Raw genomic sequence first — 19,660 nt, 5'->3', positions numbered from 1 at the left:
AGGATGGGCCTTAATCCAATATGATTGGTGTCCTTATAAGAAGAGAAAACACAGGCACATATAGGGTGCACACCATGTAACTATGGAATCAGAAATTAGAGTGATGTGTCTACAAGCCAAGGAACACCAAGGATTGCGGGCAGCATTGGGAGCTAAGAGGAAGGCCTGGAACAAATCCTTCTTTAGTGCTTCAGAGAGAGCATGGCCCTGCCTACATATTAACTTTGAATTTTTGGCCTCCAAAACTGTGAGAAAATAAATTTCCGTTATTTTAAGCCACCCAGTTGATGGTACTTTGTTATGACTGCCCTAAGAAGCTGATCCAGCCCCCTAATGTCCAAAACATTGGCTCCTGGAAAAGAAAATATTCTTCCCAACATCCCAACATCTAAGCACAACAAAATAATTGTTAGATTTGAATAAAAGTTTTATTCAAACTTTGTCTGCTTTCCAGTCCAAGGAGACCTATCCAGTTCAGGGGCTGGTGCTTTTAGAAAGAAAAATTAGACTTTTTAATTACTTTCCCTGCCACTGCCACCATCACCACCCATCCTGTTAATGTATCAATTTCTTTGATTGAAAAGACTAGGTAAATTAAATATCTCTCTCTCAAAAAAAAAAAATCAGCCTAACACAGAATCAAAAATGGAAAACACAAAGGACCTCTGGCTCTGTATAGGATTTGCTTCATAGCTCTGGCAGGAAGTCAGTTTGATCGCATTTCTGAAATTACGTATTTAATGTGGCTGGCTGTGATCAGCCATTCTGGTCCTCAGGAGCACTGGTGTCAGTGAAAAGCAGCTCCCTTGTGGACTGTTGTCAGGGCTGAAAGCTTCCTTACCAACTCCTCTGCCCCTTCCAGGCCAGGTCTTTTTGTGTTCTCTTCCTAGCCTTGCTCCACTGAGCTAGGGGGTCAAGCTCTTTCCTAGCTCATGCCTCTGTATTTTCATCTACAAGCTTGATAAGCAAAAGATCTCTGCATGCATTCACCACAAAGTCTGAGTCCCAAAGGGGACAGTAATGCTGGCAGTCACACAAGACCAAGGATCAGGGACCACCTATCACCTGGAGGGCCCTGACCTGCTGGGAGCCAATATACTCAATCCATGGAAATTCAATATAAAGGAGTTGCCTTAGGTGTTTCGAGGAGAGACATGTTTAAAATGCTCCTCTTGGTCATATCTCTTTAAAACAAAGACACATAGAGCCATTCATAAATATGAACAATTTATCTCTATGTTGGTGGCAAGTTGAGTAAGGAAATGCAGAAAGAAAAAACGTCAGAATAAAATATAATAAGAGAATGAATGACCATGTGACACAAAGGTGAGAAAAACAAGTCAGAAAAGATCCATTCAAAACACTTTTCACAAAGTGGGACAGACACTGACAAAGGGAAACAGATGATGAGGGGAAGGGGACAGAGACAGAGAGAGACACACAGGGAAAGAGAGAGAAAGACACAAAAGTAGGGGTCGCCCTTGGCTCTCTGACTGCCTTTTCATTTATTCTTTTTCCCGTTGACATGGTTCAGCTCTCACCCCTGGGCAGGTGGCTCCTTAGTGCTTGCTTCAGTCTTGACTTCCCCCTTCAGAGGCCCTCCCACAACCCCCACCCTGCCTGCATCATTTCCCCCTTAGCACGTCTCCACCAACACAGAGAATGGGAGAAGGGATGTCAACAGTCGTGGAGTGCCGAGTGTATGCTTAGTTGTGCTCTAGACATGTCAGTGATAAAGACAAATAGGACACATTTGCTTCCCTCAAGGAGCTCTGGGGGAAGAGGTAAGCATACCTGCTCTTTGACAAATGCAGTAACAGAGGCCCAGGAACACAGAGGAGGGAGGACCAGGTCTGTAGAGGACTCAAGAAGGGAGATGTTTTGGAGACTGCGGCAGCTGAACTGGACCTTGGACTCTAGGGAACACAGAGAGTCAGGAGAAGAGTGTTCTGGACAAAAGGGATGCATGTGCAAAGGTGTTTGGGAACAGGTCAAGCTCTGTGGCAAAGGTTGTAGAGGACCTGGGGTGAGGCTGGAGAGACAGTTACTCTGAGAATGCTCAGGAGTTGGGCATGGTCCTACATATGAGGCATAGGATGGAAAAGAAAGGGAAGGAGGAGAATCTGGAAGAGATTCTGGATATAAGGTGAGCACCACTTGGTTTCCTATTCAGGAGAATCCACCTTGAGTAATTGAGTGGATGAAGATGTCATTGACTGGAACAGAGAAGAGAAACATTTGGCAAGGAAAGATGTTGACCAAGACATCTAGAGGGAGGAGGAAATGTGGTGAGATCCACCGTAATCAAGTTACATTTGAAATGCCTTCAAGACAGCCAGGTGAAGATGGCCAGTAGAGAGCTGTAAACCCAGGTCTTGGCTTTGAGGAGAGAAGTGGATGGAGAGTTATTAGCAGCAAGACTGAGGTTGAGGCCAGGCACAGTTGCTCACGCCTGTAATCCCAGCAATTTGGAAGGCCAAGCAGGTGGATCACCTGAGGTCAGGAGCTCAAGACCAGCCTGGCTAACATGGTGAAACCCTGTCTCTACTAAAAATACAAAAATTAGCTGGGTGCACATGTGCCTGTAGCCTTAGCTACTTGGAAGTCTGAGGTAGGAGAATCGTTTGAACCTGGGAGGCAGAGGTTGCAGTGAGGCGAGAGTGTGACTCTGTATTCCAGCCTGGGTGACAGAACGAGACTCCATCATACACACACACACACACACACACACACACACACACGCACACAGACTGAGGTTGAAGCTGGTGATTGGAGGTTGAAGACCCAGAGGAGATCCAGGATGTTTCATTTGAGAGGTAAGCAGAGGAAGAGGAGCATGAAACAGAGAGATGAAGAAATGGGAGACAGGAGGAGAACCAGGAGATGGTATAGTCACCTGTGTTAGTCTGTGCTCATGCTGCTAATAAAGACAAACCTGAGACTGGGTAATTTATAAAGGAAAGAGGTTCAATTGACTCACAGTTCCACATGGCTTGAGAGACCTCACAATCGTGGCAGAAGGCAAGGAGGAGCATTTTGTGGTAAGTAAGATGTGCTTACCTCTTGCCACATCTTACATGGTGGCAGGCAAAGAGAGCATGTGCAGGGGAACTCCACATTATAAAACTATCAGATCTCATGAGACTATTCACTATCATGAGAACAACATGCGGAAGACCTGCCCCCATGATTCAATTACCTTGCACAGGGTCCCTCCCATGGTACGTGGGAATTATGAGAGCTACAGTTCAAGATGAGATTTGGGTGGGGGCACAGACAAATCATATCAACAGCAAAGCCAAGGAAGTGAGGAATTTTTAGATGAAGGAATGTTGTATGCATGTGTGATACCCCCAACATTCCAATCAGTTCTGTGGAGACAGAATCTCTCTCTGGGTCTAATGAACCATCAGTACCTAATAGGAAGGTTTGCTCATTTTTAGCAGACATGACATGGCTCTTGGATTTAATAGAGCTTCCTTTTGGATACCATATAGCAAGTATTCACAACCAGCAGCTGGTGACCGCACTATAACCCCAAATTAGAACAGTCTGGGAGGTGGTGGACCTCACTTTATCCCCATATTCTCATGGAGAAAATTTTTATGTGTCTCCCCGCTACTTGGTGCCTCTGATGTCACACTTTTCCTTGTGTCTTAGTTATTTGTGGTCCTGCGTTATCACTCTTCCTAGACGTTAAGCATTTAAACGTCAAGGAATTCACATCTTGTTTCCTTTTGCACACCTAGTACTTCTCTCATGTTGTGTACTCATTGTGTACTCAATAGAAGTAATGGCAATGTCTGCTCAGCAGTTCAGGGACAAATGAGGAGCAAACTGAGGTCTCCCAATTCCCAACCTACAGCCTTTCAGCCCCCAAAGTTCTCTGTTTTATTAAAGGGCAGGGACATTCCCACCAGCCCTCTCATTTCTAGTCATATTAATCAGTTTCAGGAAAGAAATGTGTCTGAGGGGGAGACCAGTTCCTGAGCTGGACTTAATTTGGTTGAGGATTCAAAGATGTGATTTTAACTACTTTGAGCAGGCTTGCTTTTTTTCTTTTCTTAACATAAAAAAGCATATTCAGCAGACATGAGTGAGCTGAGGAATTTCTCTTTTGACAGCTTTGGGACATCTGAGATACTGTATACAGAGCACTTCTAACCAACCTAGAAAGACGTGTGTCCAAAACATGTTCAGGAAAAGGACTGATCAAGAGTGAGAAAAATGAGAGAAAATCCTCTTAAAATGTTTTGTCGAGAGCAACCTCAGGTGCAAAACTTTGTGTCAGAAGAGACCTCCAATTCACAGGACTTGAACCAGCCCATTTGGGTAGATGACTAGAATAATTTGGTCTATGAGAAGTTCATAGAAATTGTGAGCTGTCAGGGCCTTCTGTGGTCTGATCAAATAGCCACATCTGTAGGATGAGGAAACAGGCCTAGAGAGGTTAGTGATCTCCCCAGGACTAGCAGCAAAGCAGAGATTCAAACCCAGGCCATCTGCTTGGCAGAGCCCACACCTAACCTCTCTACCATAGAGGCAAGGGTTCATTTTCTTCTCAATAAGATGGCTCACAAAGTATTTTCTCACATTTCAGTCCCATCTGTTGCTTTACACAACTCATCCCTTGAATACCTTGGGTTTCCAGCCCAGCAGAGTTTTGCTGCCCCACAGATTGCCTCAGTGTGGGGTCAGGGCCTTCCTGGTGTAGATGAACACATGGCCACACTCAGTCTAGTTGCCTCATAGTCACTTGGAGAGCACCTTAAAAACAGGATTCTGGTGAGGGTATTCACTGGACTAGAGAACTAGGTCTGGTAATCCTAGGGCTTTAACTCACCTCTGCATTGCCTGTTTAAATCTTCTCTGGGCCAGGCACGGTGATTAATGCCTGTAATCCCAGCACTTTGGGAGGCCAGGGTGGGTGGATTACCTGAGATCAGGAGTTCCAGACCAGCCTGGCCAAGATGGTGAAACCCCATCTCTATTAAAACTACAAAAAATTAGCCGGGCATGGTGGCAGGCACCTGTAATCCCAGCTACTTGGGAGGCTGAGGCAGGATAATTGCTTGAACCCAGGAGATGGAGGTTGCCGTGAGCTGAGACTGCACCATTGCACTCCAGCCTGGGTGACAGAGCGAAACTCTATCTCAAAAATTAAATCAATCAGTCAGTCAATCTCCTCTGTAACATCCCAACAAAAGGTCTTCCAGCCTCTGCCTGAAAGCAACACATGGAACCACAGTGGGGAAAACTCATCTTGGGAATCTGAGATGTGGAATGAATTCCCAGCTCTGATTCTTGTGAGTTGTATTACCTTCAGCCACTACCTACTCCTTTTGGTTGTCTATGTCATCTTTAAAGTGGAGGTGATCAGGATTACCAACTGACAGCATTATTATGAGGACATGACGACAGATCTGAATGTGCCCAGGGCACAGCAAAAGGTGGGTTTTGGTGGCATGGCTCCATTTGCTCTAAGCCTCTTGCTTAAAACTCTTTTAAGTCCCTAGTTTTGCCCTCTGGAACTTGAAAGCATTTTGCCTTTAATCACACTAGTATTTGAGCTGGGATTTAATTCATGCAGTTCAGCTTCAAAATTTATACAACTATACTGAATTAAGCAATATCAGTTCTTCACCTGCCTAGAATAACCTTATCTCCTCCTCTGTTCTTAGCAAACTTCCTAGCCAAACCCTTACTATCTGTTCAAATTGTTTCATCCTTCAAGATGCAGCCCAGCAGTTGCTTTTTCTGTGGACCTTTGGTCCTCCCAGGCAAAGAGCCTCCCTTGTTCTGTTTTCCCTGAGGCCTCTTAGAGTTAGGTATGGGCAAGTTCATCCCCCAACTGGACTGGGACCCTTCCCTGAAGGGTAGAAGGTCTGTGCTCGGGCAGTCTGGTACCTTCCTGTGTTTGAAAACAGGGAGGAATGGAACCCCATGTTCACATTAACACCCAGTAGGTCCTGTCTCTTTAGAGACAGAAGAGTAAGTGGGGAGGTCCGTCTGCATATTCTGGGGTCTCCCTTAACCACCAGGCTTCTCCTGTTGTCATGGATGCCACATTGCTCAGAGTTCATCTCCAGCCTTCTGGTTTCAGGAATAAACCCATTTAGACAGATGTCATATTGAGCAGTGATACAACTGCTAAGGATTTCACCATGCCCTCTGGAGCCTGCTTCATTCTGTTAGAGACTTCCTTACCCAACACACACACACACACACACACACACACACACACACACACACACACACACACACATTCTGCATGAGTGTTTCCTGGAAATTGCAAGCAGAGAATTAAACTGGAAGTCCAATCTGGGTTCTGGTCTCAACTCTCTTACTGCTCCAAGCCCTAGGCCATGCCACCTTGGCCAAGTCCCTTCACTCTTCTGAGCCTTAATTTTCCCATCTATAAAATGAAGAAGCTGAGCTAGTTAACCTCAGAATTAATTATTTTCAATTTTCTGTTCTATGATTAAGAGCAGAGTCCTGTTTTTCTATCTGTAACATAGTAATGGTCACAGATAAGAGAAATAAGAATTCAGCTTTCCGTGTGTATCTCCCACTGCAGTGTGCACATGTGCACGTGCGCACACACACTGCCCTCTGAGGCTGTGTTCATGTAATTGATTGATGGAAGGAGACTTGGCCCTTCTTCTCTTCAGCTTGATTATAAGTGAGCTAAACAGATGTCTTGAATTGGGTGATTGGTTCCCAGATGCATTCCAGGGAGCAGGCTGGTGGGAAGGAAGTGAATGGTTTCAAGTTCTGGGGCTCTATGACAAATGAACAGTGGTTGTGGGCAGAGGGGGTAGGGGCCAGGTTGGATACTTAGTGTTATGAAGCAAGTGACCAGATGTTGATGGCAGCTGGTGGATTAATAACAAAGGTGACTGGTGAGCCAAGGAGATAATCCAGAAAGGGGGAGCCACAGTCCCTAATCATCGGAGCCTGGGCTGGAAGTCAGGCCCCCTGGGTTCCTGCTGACCAGCTGGCTAGAGTGAAGTTAGAGAGTTTATTTTGGCCACCTGCCCAAAGGGGCAATTATTCTTAGCATGGTAGAGATGGAAGAGACCTGAGAATCATTTTATTCCCCCACTCCATTTTACAGATGAGGACACTGAGGTCTGGAAAGCTTAAGTGACTTGTGTGAAGTTATATCACAGAGCCAGAGCTAGAACCCAGATCATCTCGCTGGAGGTCTTCCAAAGGCAAGCTCAATCAGCCATCGCAAAGGAAATATTGAGAGAGGAGCACACGTTTCTCCACCCCTTTTCCTTTTATGCTTCCAGCTGAAACAGGGCTTGAAACAAAGTTTTCTTCCTGCTGTGCTGGATATACTCCCTCTTATGTGCTCTCTGCCATTGCTGACTCCTGGAGACACTTAAAGAGTAACAGCAATGACGCGCATCATTAAATAAGGCCAAATTGTGTGCAAGTCACCATGCAGGGCACTCAACATACACTATTGCATTTCACCCTCCTCACAATTCCAGGAGGTGGTCCCTGCTTTAATTCTTATTTTTCAGTTGAAAAAATTGAGGCACAAAGGGATTAATTTTCTCTGACATGTGGAGCTAGTAATGGCACAGCCAAATTTCCAACTTGGGAGCCTGACCTCATGCAGGATCTGTGCTTGCAGTTACTCCCTGCAATGCCTCCCCAGACACTCTGGTGCCTCTCCCAGCCCCCTGAGAGGTTGATATAAAATAGGGCAAGGAAAGAAGGATGTCTGTTCTAGCCTGCTTCTCCCTGGGTCCTCCAAGGTCAAGTCAGGTCAGTTCATCCCCAGGTTCCTGGTGGTAAATCTGAGGCAGAGGAAGACACAGTGCTGTGTCTGCATCACAGGGCCAAGGTGGTAAGAGTATCCATCTATTAATATATGGTATCTCAGGGTTTTGAAAGCATGGCGACATTCATTACCTTATGCAATCATCACAGCAGATATATATTTATATATATATATATATATATATATATATATATATATATATTTCTTTTCTTTTCTTTTTTTGTTGAGATGGAGTCTCACTCTGTCACCCAGGCTGGAGTGTAGTGGCACAATCTCGGCTCACTGCAACCTCTGCCTCCCGAGTTCAAGCGATTCTCCTGCCTCAGCCTCCCGAGCAGCTGGGATTACAGGCACCAGCCACCACGCTTGGCTAATTTTTGTATTTTTAGTAGAGACGGGGTTTCACTATGTTGGCTAGGCTGGTCTCGAACTCCTGACCTCAAGTGATCCATCCGCCTTGGCCTCCCAAAGTGCTGGGATTACAGGTATTTATATTATTTTTATCAAAATCATTAGTGTGATAATTCTCCCTGGTTTATCCATGAGAAAACCAAGACTCAAGTGGTTAAATGAATTGCCCCAAGCACAAGGCTGATGCGCCTGGAGCTGGGAGGCTTCCTAAGAATTCTCTAGTGAACTTTCCCCTTTGCTTCTGGCCCCATGCTTTCCCCCACCCTGTTCTCACTGTGGCTCCTGGCCTGAGAACAGACCTGCTCACCAGCAGGGAGCTTCCAGCAACCATCAAAAAGCAGTTTGTTGGCAGAAGAATACATGCAGGAGGAGACAACCCAAAAAGCTTTATTGGAGGTGAGTTGAGCCATCTGATCATTGGGAGATATTTGAAACGTAGCCATATATGTTTTTGCCAATTTATTCAAGAAAAAAATAGGATTTTTCAGAATTTTTCTACTTGTTTAAGATATTGTTTTTTGTTATACACAGCTTTGAATAATTATAATAATAACAATCACAGGATTAGAAACAGAATTTTAGTACCAGCCTTGCAACCAGCCACTGTGCATTCTTTGATGATCCCCATCATTCTCCAGCCTTTCCCTTCCTCTCAGAGGTCTCCAAGGTCCCTCATGACTCTGAAGGCCTACATTTGGGACATTCTGATGAATCCCTCGAGCAAAGAGGATCCTCCCTGTGCCTCAAGATTAGTGGCCACTGAGAGAGTTCCCTTGAGCTGGGTACAATCTTTAAGGACTGACAGTGTTTTAAGAATGCTAATTTCTGGGGTTCCATTTAATGAAATGTAGCTTTACGTGTAGATCTCTCTAAAGGCCAGCTGTAAGAGAATTGCCGTGTATGCATGATGTTTCATATGGTTCTTTATTGAAGACACTTAACCAGGCTTGTCAGGAATACATTGGCATTTTCCTATGCCATTAAGAAAACCAGTCTCAGCTGGAGGGGCCAGTAAGTGAAGCCTGAGGATGCATGACAGCTGGTGGTTCAGTACGTCTGACCAGCTCCCGTCTGGTGTTCCCTGAAGAGGTGACATTCAGAAAGACTTCTGCAACCAGGAGAAATGCCCTCCACACTGTATGTGAAGGACTCATTAATCAGTGGCGTGGCCCTAAGTCAGTATTTTCCCTTGCCTGGGTCTTGCTTTTTTTCACTTCTCCAGTGAAGAAATGGTTGACCTCAAATGTTTCTTAAAGTTCTAACAGCCTCTGACTGCAAATGTCACCTAAAGGCAATGCCAACCTTACTTTGGTACAACAAAATCCTAAAGAAATGGTCATGGTCATGTGCCATCACCTCCTTCAGATTGACAATTGGAATACTATTTCTCAGGATGAACAGGAAGCTGTGTTCACAAAAGGCATGGTTATGCAAATTCGGAATCAGCCAATGTGCTTTGGGAATTTCTCCATTCTAAGCACATGCCTCATCATCTTAAGCCCTTTCAGCAGTTCTGGGAAATGAGGCTTCTCACTGAGATGACCTGACTGAGGCTTAGCACAAAGCAGTGTCCCATATCACAGAGCTGACAAATGGCAGAATTAGAGTCAAATCTCAAGTCTTGTGCTCTATTCCTGTGAATCATTCATGACAATATTAAGGTCACTTGATGAATAAGACATATGGCCATAGACATATGGGAAAAGATTGTACGACTGATTGGTATCACAGACATCACCATTCAACAAGTGAGGACAGTCAGGCCCAGCGTCAGGCTCTGTATCCCAGTAGTTAGACATCAAGTCAAGATAACTGGAGACAGAAAAGCATTTTTAGCAGGAAAATAACCCCAATACAAAATCACAATCATATTGTCATATTTTAAGTGAGTGGCAAGCCCGATAATTCTGTTTTCAGATGCAGATCCCATTGACCAAGTATTCAGTTAAATGAATTCTTATAGGCCCCTTCTGAAAACAGATACATCCTGATGGCCACAGAAACTTTGCCCACCCACCCTCAGTTTTCTAAACTGGGATCCCAATCAGACCCAAGAAACACAGCACATATTCTGGAAGACATCAGTGATATGGCTTGGCTGTGTTCCCACACAAATCACATCTTGAATTGTAGCTCCCATAATCCCTACATGTCATGGGACAGACCCAGTGGGACGTAATTGAATCGTGGGGGCAGCTTTTTCCTGTGCTGTTCTCATGATAGTAAATCTCAGGAGATCTGATGGTTTTATAAAGGACAGTTCCCCTGCACACACACTCTTGCCTGCTGCCATGTAAGATGTGCATTTCTCCTCTTTCGCTTTCTGCCATGATTGTGAGGCTTCCCCAGCCATGTGGAACTTTAAGTCCATTAAGCCTCTTTTTCTTTATAAATTACCCAGTCTTGGTATGTCTTTATTAGCAGCATGAGAACAGACTAATACAATCAAGAAACCTAGAAGGGAACTTTAAGCCCTGGGCTTTATTGCACTTGTGGCTTTGGCTTCCTGAGCCGTACACCCACTGAGATTCAGACTTAGATCTTGGTGATGTGTCCTCTGACTCAGTCCTCACCTAGGGCATCCCAGGCCCAACTTTATAGGTCATATCAGAACCTTCAAGATAGCGAAGACACTCTGGCTCCTGTCCTGCCCCCAGCTTTGCCCTGCCTTTCCCTCTCTGGGCCCAGGTCCTTTCCTGCCTCACTTGTAGAGCTTGTACATTGTTGTAGTATGAAGTGTGGCCATTTAGAATATCGAGATTCTAAATCAGCACATTGGCTGATTCAGAATTTGCATACCATGCCTTTTTTTTTCAGCACAGCCTCCTGTCCATCCTGAGAAATAGTATTTCAATTGTCATTTTGAAGGAGTTGATGGCACATGACCATGACCATTTCTTTAGTATTTTGTTGCACCACAGTAAGGTTGGCATTGCCTTTAGGTGATACTTTCAGAGTCAGTGGCTGTCAGCTCTGCCTCACTTGTGGAGCTCGTACACTGTTTCCTGCCTCACTGCAGCCACAGACATGTCCATGTCTGTGGCTCTACATGAGGGAAGCTATGTCTGCTGCCTTTTCTATTGGCAATCCCATTTGTGACCTACTGAAATCAGGGCCTCAGGACTCACAGGAAGGAAACACATCAGTAAAAGACCACATAGCCCCTTCCTATCTGAGTAACATCAGATGTGACTTCACTTCTCTGAGCTCCAATGCCTTCATCTGTTGAATGGAGATAAGAATCCTGCCTAATTCATAGGGATTAAATAAGATGATCATGTAAGGTGCCTGGCATGGTGACCAGCCCCAGTGAGTCCTTGGCGAGTGTTATTACTTATGAATACACTTCCCACACGCCTTCACAGAAGTCCTCTCCATGGGGGTCAGGGCTCTTCTATACACACTACAGCATGCGTTGCCAGGAACAAGAAAGTAAGACCTCCAGCTTTACTTCATAATAAGAGACAAAATCAAGAAGGATGAAGTGTTATGGAATTGATGGGCATGGCATTCTTCTCTTTTTTATGACTCTTCCTTTCATTCTGCAGTATTTGCTTCCAAAGCTCACGGTGGCCTGAGGCTGCAAGGCCTCATCCAAGGGGCTGATGTGGACCTGCCCCAGGGGGCTGCCCTTTAAGGCCCTGCCACCCTACATTCACCTGGAAACTGGGCAATGTTGGAGGGGATGTCTTTAAAACTAAGGGGAGCTGCTGGTCCTCTACCTTGAAACTGACCCAAGGTGATTTAGAAAACTAGTAGGATTTAGGAAACTAGTCTCTGGGTTAACAGGCTCAAGGTTAAGGAGGCATAAAGGGCCTTGATCCAAGGGATTCTGGGGAAATCTGAGGTCAGTCTGGATACAAAGGAGCATTGTTAGATATTCTGAGCCCACTCAAGAGGAGACCCAAGTGTCCAAAATGCACCAAGCTCCCTATTCCCCTTTTGTGGTGTTATGGAGAATAGCTGGAACCTACATGCAATCTCCTTGAGTGTCTCGGCCTGGTACATGGCCCCGGTTGGAAGGCCTCCATCTCTGCCTGAGTAACCAATGCTGGGCTTCCTAGGCACAGGCCTTGGGCCTGACTGCTTTGGGAGTCTCACACATTCCTAGAGGCTATATTTCCACCCTCAGGTTCAGAGTGTTCAAGGTGGTTTGTCATTGACAACTCTTCTACAGCCAGGGGGTTTTGATAAGGGAGACTGGGTATGTCTTTGGGCAGGGTCACCACCGTGGTTTTCTGATACTTACCACAACATTTTCCTGAATGGCTGTGCTTCATACTAAAACAATGTCTAGAAGCTAATTGTTAATGAATTCAGTCTTTAAAAATGTGATTCATATACTGGGAGATTTCAGGAAGTGAGTATCAGATGATAAAAATGCATGAACACACACACACACATGCAGGTGTGTGCACACACACTCACTCGTTCATCCTGCAACTATTATGTGCAAAACTCACATAAGCTTTCCTTTTTGTGTTTTTGAGATGGAGTTTCTCTCTTGTTGCCCAGGCTGGAGTGCAATGGTGGGGTCTCGGCTCACCGCACCCTCCGCCTCCCGGGTTCAAGCCATTCTCCTGCCTCAGCCTCCCAAGTAGCTGGGATTACAGGCATGCACCACCACACCTGGCTAATTTTGTATTTTTAGTAGAGACAGGGTTTCTCCATTTTGGTCAGGCTGATCTCCAACTCCCGACCTCAGGTGATCCACCCACCGGGCCTCCCAAAGTGCTGGGATTACAGGCGTGAGTCACTGCACCCAGCCAAGCTTTTTAATTCTTTGAGAATCTGGAGGCAAACCAAGTCCCCATTGAGTGTGATGTACATTCACCCTTCTTCCATAGGAAATCTGCCTCTTGGGATGACAACAAGTCCTTGTTTAGGGGCAGCATCTCCTGAGCAGAGGCAGGCTGAGTGGTCTGTAGGTTTGATTGTGTCGGCCCAGGGTAAGCCTATAGAATCACTGACCTTCAGAGATGAATGGCACCATGGAGGGTACATGCTCCATTTCTTTCATCTTCCAAATGCAAAGAAACAGGCCTAGAGACAGAAATAGACCTGCTGGGGTCTCAGCTGCTCTGTGCAGGACCAAGCCCAGAACCATCCTCACTGCTCTGCTAGAGCCCTTTCCCTTCATAGCACTTGACGCTCCTCTCAGCTGGCAGATCTTTTCCAGAAGGTTCCATTACCTTACCTTTCTTCCATGATGGAAATAACAAGAAAGTAAGTGACAATGATTTCACATATGTGATAGGCAGGTCCTGGAAAGTGTGTCTTTTTCTCAATGCTCTTTTTCAATGGTCAGATTCTCTTGGGTTAAAACAAAAAAAGGTCAAGATCTCTGGATCCTCCTGAAGGTCATAGTCATTCTGCAAAATGGGCCTGACATTTAGAAAATATAGATCTGTCCCCTATCATGAAGAAGGCTTTTCAGATATGAAAAGTTTACAGGCTTTGGGTCTAAGAGTAACCAAGATAAAACACTTCATTGGTTTCTCATCTATTGTGTAAATTAATCTTCAGCCCTAAATTGAGATTCTGAAGCTGCAGGAGAGAGATGAACAACACTGGATATTCTGCATTATCCAGTTCTAGGTCACTCTCTGGGTCTGCCTTGGGGTAGTCCTTTCATTTGGGGGCAAGAAAACTTTTTAAGCCTCAGCTTCCTCACCTATAGAGAGAAGAAGAAACCGTCCACTTCTCAGTGTTGTTCTGCAGATGAGGTACAGTGATGGAAGGAAAACACCCAGGACAGTGCGTGGAAGACCGCCAGGAGGGGCTGAGGGAAGGTAGTTTCCCACCCCTGCCCCTGGGTGGGTGTGGACCTGCCTCTGCGGTTGGGTTGCTTAAGGCTGAGCACTGTGCTGAAGCCCTAGACCCCTCTGAATCCCTCCTGTAAAATAGATTCTACAGTCTCTACCTCATAGGCACTGAGTTGGAAGAGGGTGAAGGAGAGAGATTCAAGAAGCACACTAGGTCTAGAACCTCGGAAGAGGCCCAAGGAAAATAAGACTTAACCTGGTGTTTTAGGCAAGTCCCAAGGTATTATTGCCCAAGAGGCACTGAGGCTAGTTTGAGTGAGAAAAACCTGTGTCTCCATGTTTTGTAAGAAATTAAATCAGAATGTAGAAAAGCCTAATTCAGTTTCAACCAAATGAGTAGTAATATTAACTCCATTCCTATTTAAAGCTAGAAAGTACAGCTTTAACAGCTAAAAGGAGGTTGCTGCGGACTAAGAATTACAGAAGGAACGCATTTTAATCGGTACATTTGCATAGCCTGTTTTACTAGGCAGGATCTGGCCCAAACACAGCCAATTATCACACTTAAACTCTCCAGAGTTCAAAGATCCAAGAATTAATATGCTCGGTGCTGGGATTGTATATTGCACTGTCTGTCTGTTGTATACACATGTAGGGCACATTTGCCAGGCAGGACACAACTCAGACAGTTGGCATGCCTCACCTCTGTCTTGAATAGAAACAGGTCATCTTTCATTGGAAGAGAAAAATCAAGGTAGGGGATGGCCGCAGAAGTCGAAGCTTTGGGAAAGGCACTGATAATTGTCAATGTGGGATGGGAGTGGCTGGTGGCTTTCTCACCTTTTTACTGACATGAACATCCACCAATGTGGATGTGTCTTTTTGACCCTCCCTAGAGGAGTTACATTTCATGGCTACGCCTCTCCTTATTAGTCATGTTTCATGGCTAATCCTTCCTATGTCACTTTGGTGTTGCAAAGTACAAAATGTTGGACCAGTTTTCTCTTTGCAGTCTGCTCTGAAAACCAGGTGTCTTCAAGCACATCTTGAAGATTAAGGCAGCCTGTGGTTCCTGGACACCAACTGTAGAGCAAGTGGCTTATCAACTCAAACAAAGTGAGAGCTACCCATTTCAGCTTGCCACTATGAAGGCAAGTTGTCTGAATCGTGAAAGGGCAAGGAGTATTAACCTTAGGGCCAGAAGGATGGCAGCTCCTGGAAAGCAGCTGAGGAGCAGAAAGACACTCAATAGAAGTGTAATTGAAGGATTTTTTTCTTTTCTCCTACAATTGAATAGTTTGGTTAGTGTTAACAGGAATATTTTGCTCCCACTCTGCAGCAGGGCCAGCTGTCTATGGGTGTGGACACCCATTGGGAGACAATCCAGTGGCCGGCTGCCTGCCTTAGAATCTGCCCCCACTGTATTCTGAAATTTCCAACACCAGAATTGTCTTGGAGATTGGGGTAGTAGTAGCCTCAGAAGCAGCTGTTAAAATGCACTGCTTTAACAGCTTTTGGTTTCTTTTGGTGAGAAAACCAAAGTTCACACATGAGAGGTAACTAGTCATGCCTGGACTCAAACTGAATTCCTCATATTGTCTGTCCAATATCTATCACATTATCCCATTTTTTCTTATTCCCACGGCTTCGGGGAGAGGATGAAGTAAGAGGTGGTTGAACATTTTGCATCTTGGCATCTTCTGTTAATCCATAAGCCAGCTTTGAGAGCCCGCCATGGCAAAGTTCTTCAGCCACTTTGGGGAGTGGACAATGAGCAAGGAAGGGGAAGAAAAGCTGAGTGGCCCATGTACCCTAAAAGTGGGGCAAACGTGGAATCATTGGACAGAAAGAGTCTGCCCAGGGAAGCTCAACAAAGTACAAAACATCCCAGGGCATGGGCCCTTCCTGCCTCTCTTTTCTCTCTCTCCTTACCCAATGACCCTCCCCAAACACTCCCCAAGAGAAAATAAACCCTGACTCATTGTCATAGCCTTGGCCCTCTTCTCTGGAGAGGAGATCGAAGGGTAGATTATAGGGCTGGCAAAGCAGGCTGTGAGGAAATTCCAGTTACCTATGGCCTTTCCCTTATCAATCAGAAAGGACAGGGCCTGGCTAGCATTTTTCAGAGCATCAAATATGGACCAGGTCCATTTTTCATAGGCAGTACTTTTTTATTATTTATTATTTTATTTTTTATTTTACTTTAAGTTCTGGGATACAAGCGCAGAACATATGGATTTGTTACATAGATATATGTGTGCCATGGTGGTTTGCTGCACCTATCAACCCATCACCTAGGGTTTTTTATTGTTTTTATTTATTTTATTTTATTTTTTTTTTTAGGGAAAAGGGCAAGCAGGTTTTATTTCTGGCCAGGCATGGAGAAGGAGAGAGCACTTGCTCTAAAGACAGCTTCTCCCAGAGCAGTGGGAAGCTGGGGAATGTTACAGGGTTAGACGTGGGTCAGGGGCTATGTAAGCTTGTGTTGGGAAGAACTTCAGACACGCAGGTGCAGATCAGGAACATGCTCTTCATACGACACGTGTGCAGAAAGTGGCAGTGATTCTCTTCTATGGGTGGGGACTTTTGCATTATAATGATACGCTAATGATCTAAAGGTGACAGGGGCCACTGGTTCTGGTTTGCTCTGGTTTTGTGCAGGCCTTATCCTCCTCTGCAAAGCATGCTGAAGTTCCTAGGCCATCTGGAATTCTTTTTTTTTTTTTTTTTTTTTTTAATCCTTTAAGTTCTTGGATACATGTGCGAACATGCAGGTTTGTTACATAGGTATACACGTGCCATGGTGGTTTGCTGCACCCATCAAGCCTTCATCTACATTATGTATTTCTCCTAATGCTATTCTTTCCCTAGTCCCCCACCCCTCGACAGGCCCTGGTGTGTAATGTTTCTCTCCCTGTGTCCATGTGTTCTCATTGTTCAACTCCCACTTATGAGTGAGAACATGCCGTATTTGGTTTTCTGTTCCTGTGTTAGTTTGCTGAGAATGATGGTTTCCAGCTTCATCTATGTCCGTGCAAAAGACATGAACTCATCCGTTTTTAAGGCTGCATAATATTCCATGGTGTACATGTGCCACATTTTCTTTATCCAGTCTATCATTGATGGGCATTTGGGTTGGTTCCAAGTCTTTGCTATCGTGAACAGTGCCTCAGTAAACATATGTAGGCATGTCTGTTTATAGTAGAATAATTTATAAACCTTTGGGTATGTACCCAGTAATGGGATTGCTGGTGATTGCTGGGGATTGCTGGGTCAAATGGTATTTCTGGTTCTAGATCCTTGAGGAATCGCCACCCTGTCTTCCACAATGGTTGAACTAATTTACACTCCCACCAACAGTGTAAAAGCATTTCTATTTCTATTTCTCCACATCCTCTCCAGCATCTGTTTCCTTTTTAATGATCGCCATTCTAACTGGTGTGAGATGGTATCTCATTGTGGTTTTGATTTGCATTTCTCTAATGACCAGTAATGATGAGCTTTTTTTCATATGTTTGTTGGCCACATAACTGTCTTCTTTTGAGAAATGTCTGTTCATATCCTTTGCCCACTTTTTGATGGGGTTGTTTGTTTTTTTTCTGGTAAATTTGTTTAAGCTCTTTGTAGATTCTAGTTATTAGCCCTTTGTCAGGTGGATAGATTGCAAAATTTTTCTCCCATTCTGTAGGTTGCCTGTTCACTCTGACCCATCATCTAGGTTGTAAGCCGCACATACATTACATGTTCTTAGGCAGTATGTTTTACCACCAGTTCTTACGGCAAACTTGAGTGGTAATTATCAGCCTAATGTACAGGTGAGGGAATTAAGGGTCAGAGAGGTGAGTTTTCTTGCTTGGAGTCACCGGGCTGGTAAAAGCAGAGCCAGACTTGGACTCAGCCCTCATGGGTTTCTTGGGAAGGCTCTGCCCACTCACCCTCAGGCCCTCTCTATGTCTTCAGGTAACTTCACAAGATGCAGAGCTTCTCACCATTCAACCTGTTAGTTAGCTTTGTTTTTTACCTGCCTTCTCTGAGAACATCTCCCGTAATATGAGTTACAGAAAGAGCACATTTTATTCTCTTAGGTCCCTTTTCACCAATACAGAGCCCTGTGGTATTGACAACTGATCTCCCTTGGACAGGGCAAAGGATGTGGGGAGATGAAGGCCAACCTCCTAGTGTGGAGTGGAGGGGGCTGAAAAGTCACGTTTGGGAAATGGTTTTTTCCATTGACCCTTGGCTATTATTGCAGGTCTGGAGTGCAGCTTTGACTTCCCCTGTGAGCTGGAGTATTCCCCTCCACTGCATGACCTCAGGAACCAGAGCTGGTCCTGGCGCCGCATCCCCTCCGAGGAGGCCTCCCAGATGGACTTGCTGGATGGGCCTGGGGCAGAGCGTTCTAAGGAGATGCCCAGAGGTAAGGGAGAGGCTGCTGGTGATGTCCTGGGTGGGTCAGGGCCAGGCTGGAATACCTATTTCTGTTTGAAATGATGAGACTTCACTCCTGTTCTGCTCTGTTTACTTTGAAACCTGCTTTTAATATCTGTGACTTTCCATGGCTTCTTGGGCCATGCAAGGAGGGGAGGAAGACAAGTCCCATCTCAAGATCAGCCCAAACCTTTATTCTTTAACAAGTAATAAAAGTAGGGTTTCATAACTCTCTTCCATGCAGATTTCCCTGCAGGAGAAAGTGCTGATCGGTATTTGAAATGGGATTGCCAGATAAAATACAAGATACCTCATTAAATTTGAATTTCAGATGAACAGCAAATGATTTTTTAGTACAAGTGTGTCTCATGCAATAGTTGGAACACACTTAAACTAAGAACTACTCCAATTTTACAAAACAATTCAAATGTAATTGAGTGTCCTGCATGTTTATTTTTACTGCCAGATCTGGCAATCCTAATTTGGAAGGTATTGTAGAACTGGCTTAAATGTTTCTAAGCCGTTCATAAATACTCAGGCGACACATTTGCTTGGTGTGATGCTTCCTGTGGTCTTGAGCTGTTTGTGAATGTCCCCTTCTTTATTATCAGGGCCTAGGAAAGGTAGGCTCAGAGGAAAGTAGTGGGCAACTGTTAAATTGTTAAATTGTGCTGAGTTTCTTAGACAGAGACATGAAGGCACTAAGCTCTAGTCTAGTTTTATGTCTCACCAAGCCAAATCTTGGGACTCCCAATGTCTTGGACCTAGAAAACTCTACTAACTCAGAATTGAAAGCCTATGTTCCTGGCTTTTTGGAAGAAGGAATAACTGAAGTGGCAATGGGCTTATTAGACATTCAGGGTAGTTTTTTCAGTTTGCAAAGCACTCCCACCTACGCTGTCTCATTGGATTTCAATGAGAGAGGCAGGGCAGATAAGAAAACTAGTGCTCAGAGCGGGGGAGTGACTGCCCCAAGATCACACAGAATGTACATGTGGGTCTGGGTCTAAATACTTGCTGTGATGAGTCCCAGACAAGGGCACTTTCCACCACATCATGCTTCTGTCTTTGTAGAAAGACCAGGACCAGAGCCTGCTCTGTGGCCAGATTCTCGAGAGAATCTCATCTCAGGCTTATGCTACTAGGGAGCCTAACAGGTCAGGTCTTGGGTAAGCTGATGAGGGAGATTGGAGGTGGCACAAAAACAATTAATGCTCTCAGGCTTATACCTCAGCCTCTACCTTGTCATCAAAGAACC

At 45.0% G+C, this 19,660-nt stretch overlaps 1 protein-coding gene across 2 annotated transcripts in view; it reads left to right on the top strand.

Moving 5' to 3' along the window:
- The window catches only part of ALK (ALK receptor tyrosine kinase), a 728,813-nt gene that overhangs the window by 208,346 nt on the left and 500,807 nt on the right, over positions 1-19,660 (top strand). For both annotated transcript variants that reach the window (XR_001738688.3, NM_004304.5), the window contains exon 3: positions 18,227-18,391. Coding sequence is in view for 1 of the 2 variants with exons in the window: in NM_004304.5 (NP_004295.2) it covers positions 18,227-18,391 (165 nt within the window). In the remaining variant the exon portion in view is untranslated. The remainder of the gene's footprint in view (positions 1-18,226; positions 18,392-19,660) is intronic.

Source organism: Homo sapiens, chromosome 2 (genome assembly GCF_000001405.40).
Source record: "Homo sapiens chromosome 2, GRCh38.p14 Primary Assembly".
NCBI lineage: Eukaryota > Metazoa > Chordata > Mammalia > Primates > Hominidae > Homo > Homo sapiens.
The sequence above is the reverse complement of the archived record's forward strand: the minus strand, read 5'-3'. Positions and strand labels throughout refer to the sequence as shown.